Source organism: Homo sapiens, chromosome 1, assembly GCF_000001405.40.
Source record: "Homo sapiens chromosome 1, GRCh38.p14 Primary Assembly".
In the NCBI taxonomy this organism is placed as follows: Eukaryota; Metazoa; Chordata; class Mammalia; order Primates; family Hominidae; genus Homo; species Homo sapiens.
This window is the reverse complement of record NC_000001.11, coordinates 159,309,562-159,316,242: the sequence shown is the minus strand read 5'-3', so window position 1 is coordinate 159,316,242 and position 6,681 is coordinate 159,309,562. Positions and strand designations below refer to the sequence as shown.

At 41.0% G+C, this 6,681-nt stretch overlaps 1 pseudogene across 1 annotated transcript; it reads left to right on the top strand.

The window, feature by feature from the left end:
• The first annotated feature begins 1,483 nt into the window (after positions 1 to 1,483).
• Positions 1,484 to 2,673, top strand: OR10J3 (olfactory receptor family 10 subfamily J member 3 (gene/pseudogene); annotated as a pseudogene). The gene has a single exon (NR_172557.1). The product of NR_172557.1 is annotated as an olfactory receptor family 10 subfamily J member 3 (gene/pseudogene) (transcript).
• The last annotated feature ends 4,008 nt before the right edge of the window (positions 2,674 to 6,681 follow it).

Genomic DNA, 6,681 nt, shown 5'->3' with positions numbered 1-6,681 from the left:
ACTCTTTGATGGTCACTGAGTATTGTAGATGCAGGGCTTAGATAAGTGAAGACCAGGACCTAGGGTTCTGGGGAGGAGAAGCATTCTCAGGACTCTCACAGGGCATTTGGCATTGGAAACTGATGACAGTGTGAAAAGGATATCAATCAGTCTCACATCTTCTATTCTTCACTATTCCTCACTGGATCCTTGAGAAGTAATTCAGGAGTGTATTGAGAAGGAACTGTAGAGCTGGGCACATTTGATGAATCACCTGCTTCTTCCTTGACCTAGGCCCACTCCTTCAATGGCCAGGTAGTTGTTTCTTTCTTTCTTTAAACAGCTTTATTGAAGTACAATGGATATATAATACACTACATATATTTAATGTGTACAATTTAATGAGTTTGGCCATATACATACATCTGTGAAACCATCATCATAATTAAGGTAACAAACATATCTATCACCTTTAAACATTTCTTTGTGTCCCTTTGCTTTTTGTTTTGTTTTGTGGTAAGGCACTTAATATGAGATATACCATCTTAAAAAATTTTAAGTGCATATTACAATATTGTTTACTACAAGAATTATGCTGTACAGCAGCTCTCTAGAACTAATTATCTTGCATAATTGAAACTTTACATGAATTGAACAACAACTCCCCACTTCCCCTTTCTTGTTCCCCAGTAATCACCATTCTATTTCCTGCTTCTATGACTTTGACTATTTTAAATACCTCATATAAGTGGAATCATGCAGTATTTGTCCTCCTGTGACTGGCTTATACCATTTAGAATAATGTTCTCCAGGCTCATCCCTGTTGTTGCAAAGGGCAGGATTTCCTTTTTTTTTTTTAAGGCTTAATAACATTACATTCTATGTAAATACCACATTTTCTTTATTCATTCATCTACCAGTGGACACCTGGGTTGTTTCCACAATTTGGCTATTGTGAATGGTGCTGTAATGAACATGGGAATGCAAACATCTCTTCTAGATTTTGATTTTAATTCAGATATATGAAAATATGGTCAGTGTCACTAATCATCAGGGAAATGCAAATCATAACCACAATGTGATATCACCTCATAACAGTTAGGGTGGCTAGTATTTATTTATTTTTAATCTATAATCAAAAGATAACAAGTGTTGGAGAGGATGTTGAGAAATTGGAACCCTTGTGCACTGTGGGTGGGAATGTAAAATGATGTAGCCACTGTGGAAAACAGTATGGATATTCCTCTGACCTCCATATGATCCAGCAAGCACACCTCTGGATCATATACCTCTAGGTATATAATAATAATTTTTAAAAAAAGGAACCAGGGAGTTGTTTCTACAGATCTCTTTCAGTTTGTTACCACCTTCTGATCACTATCTCTGCTCTCAATCCCAGGGTCCCAGGGTAGCCTTCTATGCTTCCAAAGAAGAGGGTGGGGACAGGTGATTATTCTGAGCAAGTAGACAACAGGTCTAGGGCATTGCTCAGAGGATGGACATGCTTTTTACTGAAAGCCTTGGTCCAGCCTACTCTGTTTCATGATTAACTCATCATATGTTTCTTTCCTCTGCCCAGCTCTTTCAAACCTAGACCTACCTTGATGCCAAAGCTAAATTCCACTTTTGTGACTGAGTTCCTCTTTGAAGGTTTCTCCAGCTTCAGGCGGCAGCACAAACTTGTCTTCTTTGTTGTCTTCCTAACTTTGTACCTGCTGACTCTCTCTGGCAATGTGATTATCATGACCATTATTCGCCTGGACCATCATCTTCACACCCCCATGTACTTCTTCCTGTGCATGCTATCCATCTCTGAGACCTGCTACACTGTGGCCATCATTCCCCATATGCTTTCTGGTCTCTTGAATCCTCATCAGCCCATTGCCACCCAAAGCTGTGCCACTCAGCTCTTCTTCTATCTCACCTTTGGCATCAACAACTGCTTCCTGCTCACAGTCATGGGATATGACCGCTATGTGGCCATCTGCAACCCCCTAAGGTATTCAGTCATCATGGGTAAGAGGGCCTGTATCCAACTGGCCTCTGGATCACTGGGGATTGGCCTTGGCATGGCCATTGTCCAAGTAACATCTGTGTTTGGCCTGCCATTCTGTGATGCCTTTGTCATCTCCCACTTCTTCTGTGATGTGAGACACCTGCTGAAGCTGGCCTGCACAGACACCACTGTCAATGAGATAATCAACTTTGTTGTCAGCGTCTGTGTCCTTGTTCTACCTATGGGCCTGGTCTTTATCTCCTATGTCCTCATCATCTCCACCATTCTTAAGATTGCCTCAGCTGAAGGTCAGAAGAAGGCCTTTGCCACCTGCGCCTCCCACCTCACAGTGGTCATCATCCACTATGGCTGTGCCTCCATCATCTACCTGAAGCCTAAGTCCCAGAGTTCCCTGGGACAGGACAGACTCATCTCAGTGACCTACACTCATCACTCCCCTACTGAACCCTGTTGTGTACAGCCTGAAGAACAAGGAGGTCAAAGATGCTCTGCACAGAGCCGTGGGGCAAAAAACTCTGTCTCCTTAATGAAGAGAGGTTGTGAAGGCTTTTCCTTTGCGTTTATAAATATGTACTAATTTTTAATGCTCTTTCAATAATGCCCTTATGTATGGGATCAAGAAGACTAGACTAAATTGAACTGAGTGCTAAAACTGGAGGTTTCTGTTTGAGGTTGTTGTGATCTTCTACGCCCTGCTCCAGAACAGTTAGAAAATAGCTTAGCATACACTTATGAATGTAGGAAAAAAATGCATGCCTGGATTATGCACTCACATACACATGCACACAGTTACACATACCTTGAGAATATTTTCAGTTATACAACTCCATTAAAACATAAAGTCTGGCCAGGTGCAGTGGCTCACGTCTGTAATCCCAGCACTTTGGGAGGCTGAAGTGGGCAGATCATGAGGTCAAGAGTTCGAGATAAGCTTGACCAACGTGGTGAAACTCCATCTCTACTAAAAATGCAAAAATTAGCTGGGCATGGTGGCACATGCCTTTAATTGTAGCTACTCAGGAGGCTGAGGCAGGAGAATCTCGTGAACCTGGGAGGCGGAGGTTGCAGTGAGCCGAGATTGCGCCACTGCACTCCAGCCTGGGTGGCAGAGCTAGACTGGGTCTCAAAAAAAAAAAAAAAAAAAAAAGAAACATAAAGTCCAGCAGGGTTCTAAAAAGCTAATGAGCAAAATGTTTGGAAACCATCCCAGAAAGATTTTCTAGTTGACTGTTAAGGGTGTCAGAATAATTTGTGCCACATTTTAAGCAAATAAGTTAGAAGATACACACACACATATGCATTTCTGTGGATGTTGCAGGCTTTCTTGTAAAAAAAAAAAAAAAAAAAAGCTAGAGGCAGACCTTCCAAGTTGATGGAACTGCTCTAACTGACCTAGGAGTAAAGAGTGCAGATGTGGGAAAGAGCAAAGCAGCATCAGCTACAGAGAACACAGACGTGAACTGTCCATATTCCTGAGATGCCTGGATCAGAAAACTCAGATTGAAAAGACGAACATGCTGAAAAGGCTAACACTTTTCATACATTCAACACAAGAGTAAAAAGGATGGAGGTTGAAAGGATCAGTAAAAGAATAGTTCCTTTTGCCAGGTTGACATAAAACTCTCTGAAATAGTGTTATAAACATAAGCACTTTAACTACAACTTCTGAAAAGAATTATTAATGAACAGAAATCTGATGCATGACTTAAAAATTTTCCAGTGAGCTCCTAAGCCTGCAGGGGTGAATTTTCAGAAGTTTCTTCTTCTATACTTCCAACTTTAAACCTGATTTATAAACAGCATTTTATGCCCGAGCATCACAGAAGGTGAAAATATGTGTTCTGGTGCAAGGAAGGATGTTCTCTCTCTCATCTTTCCACTGCACTCTGGCCTTCTATACTGAGGAATAAGCATACCCTGAGTTTCAAATACAGTCCTACAGTATCCAGAATCCATCCAATCCAATGGGGTGAACCTGTAGAGGCAAGAAATCACTTCTGATAGTGTGGTAAAGTCTGCTGGATGTTGAAAATGGGACAATTCATTGGAAATAAATTATTTAAGTCAAGTTAACCTGTCTTTCTTTGACAAAAATTGTCATGTGAAGTCTGACTGGAGATAAAAGAGATCTTTGTTTTAGTGTCCAGATTTCTAGAAATGATATAGTTTGTTTCTGTGAGGTTGGTCAAGAGACAATTAGATTTTGCTTAGTAGTTCTGCTTAATCTAATTAGAAGCCATCAGGTAAAGTTCTGCTGGCCAATGTCACACTGTCTTCTATCTGAAGTTGTATTTGGTGAATGCTGCAGCACATCACCTGGATTGCATTCCTTCAGGACCCACACAAGCATTCCTCCAGCTGCTGGGAGTGCCTTGGGCTAATGGCTCTCAGTTGAGTTCCTCTTCAAGAATTGTTCTTGTTAAATAGTTGCTTCTTCCAAGATCATGCTCCCTTCCCAGGGATATACTACCTCCAGTGGTTTGACTATTTAGGGTATTGCTTCACCTTAAGATAAGTAGGAAGGGCTCTCCCAGCTCCAGAAGGAGCTTGACTACCTCACATTTCAACTTATTTGTTTTTGCCCAATATTGCTTTCTTCACTTCTTCACAAGTGTACATGCTGAGAGCTAATAAACTTGCTTTGTTCAAATCTCTGTCTCAGTGTCTGTTTTCTGGGGACCTCAACCTGCAACATTTTAGGATCTCATTTCTAAAGTAGCCATTAACATAAGTGGAGAAATCAAACTTTCAGCCCTGATATATTCTACTAAATGCAAATCAGTGGCTCTTATATTTTAATTTAAAATAATTTTTTTCTATTTATTCAACCATATTTACTATGATTCAATTTGGTTGGCAGCAGTGCAGTATTATCTTCTTGGAAACTGGTTAAAAAATTAAAATCTGAACTTTTCTCAGAATCCATAGGAAGTCATTCTTTTCTTTTCAAAAAATTATCTGTGAGCAGTTTCCATTTCATCGCAGCCTGATGCTACTACCTTGCAGAGAGATTGCTGACCATTGTCAATGATATTTGAAAATTGGAAATAACAGGAAAGACTGAAAGTGGACTTATGTCATTTAATTTTCAAGAAGGGGAAGAGTGTCATTGTCATAAGTGAAATATATAAGTGAATTGTTGTGGTGAGCACATTGATAGAGTAAACGGTTTGTGGTGGGAATGTTGTAGCGATTGATGAAGTTCCAGAAAGAGACTTGGACTTGATAAGTAGCTGTCCAGAGCTGGGCAGATCAGCTATGGCAGGAAGACAGCCCGACTCTCTAAGATTATCTAGAGTCCTAGGCTGGCAGGTGCCTCTGCCATCCTCAGCATAAAACTTCCATCTCCAGGTTGTCACCATTTCCCATTTAATGAGAAGAGGGAAAGATCAGAGTCTTTCTTCAAGTACTCAACTCCTCAACATACTGACAAAGTGCACCATTTGTCTGAGTCTCCACTCTGAAGGTGGTCACAGGAGTATGTCTTCCATTGGCCACCAGTGGGGAGCTACTGACTTGCTTTTCAGAAATCAGCCCCTAACTATTGTGAATTCATAAAGATTTTTTGTCTGCCAATTTGGAACAGCAATTCATGGGAGAGCAAATTTTTCTCTATGAACTGGCCTTGAGCAATTTGGTAAGAGACAGGAGGTGATAAAGGGGGTGAGAAGGGTGAATCTAGAGTGAATTATTTCTATTCCAATCATCTTTATAACACATGTACTCCATCTCTGGCATAATAAAAAATGTTTCATGTGTAAAGCCATCTTCATAAATGCCATATTTTAGGGGTCCACAAAATACTCAAGCCCTGACCCTATGTTCCACATTCCCTCTGGACCAAGAGATGTATGACTATCGAGAAGAAAATGGGTAGAAATAAATGGGCAGAAACCCAGACAGGTCTGGCACAAATGTGGAATTTAGATACTGTACACGGAAGAGCACAGTGAAAGAAGAGACCAATGTGTGGAGGATAAAGGAAAATTTTACACTGGAGCTTCTTGGGGAATGCATTCTGAGCCTTAGTGCCTGGATAATTACTGCATATGAACTTAAAGTAATAAATTACAAAATATCTGGGCTCCAAGGGACCTTAGAGATCACCTCCACCAGACTCCCAGTTTTAACAAAGAAACAATAGAATCTCAGAGGCTGGCAAGTAACTTGGCCCAATCACAGCTAGTTAGCAGCTTGAATATCCAGATCTGTGTTCTATCCGTAGTCCCCTCAATCTTGCAGTGAGGGTAAAGGGGAGATAAAAGTGAAATGCGATACTCAAGAACCTAGAAAATTTCTCAGAAAATGTATCTCAAGCTGATCAAGCCCGGACTTTCTATCCATATCAAATCTCTCAGTTTTGAACTCTGAATCACTGGCCTCAATCCCTTGTCTGAAATAGAGGGGTAAATTGCTGTTTAGCCTGATGCCTGAAATGCTGATGTGCTGTGAAGAGCACTGGGGAGAAAGGTGTGGTTAATGTGGTGGAAAGCCTGGTCCCAAGGCTAAAACATAAGATAGACCTTGGGGAGGTGGCAGAGGAAGCATCCTGAAGCAACACCAGGGAGTCTCCTAGGGAAACTTTGCCTGGCCTGTTGCTCCAAGAGAAATCTTTTCTCCATTGGCCAGACTTATTCACTACATGAAGCTAAGTAACAAGGGTGTTCACTGGGATTCTGGCCTTT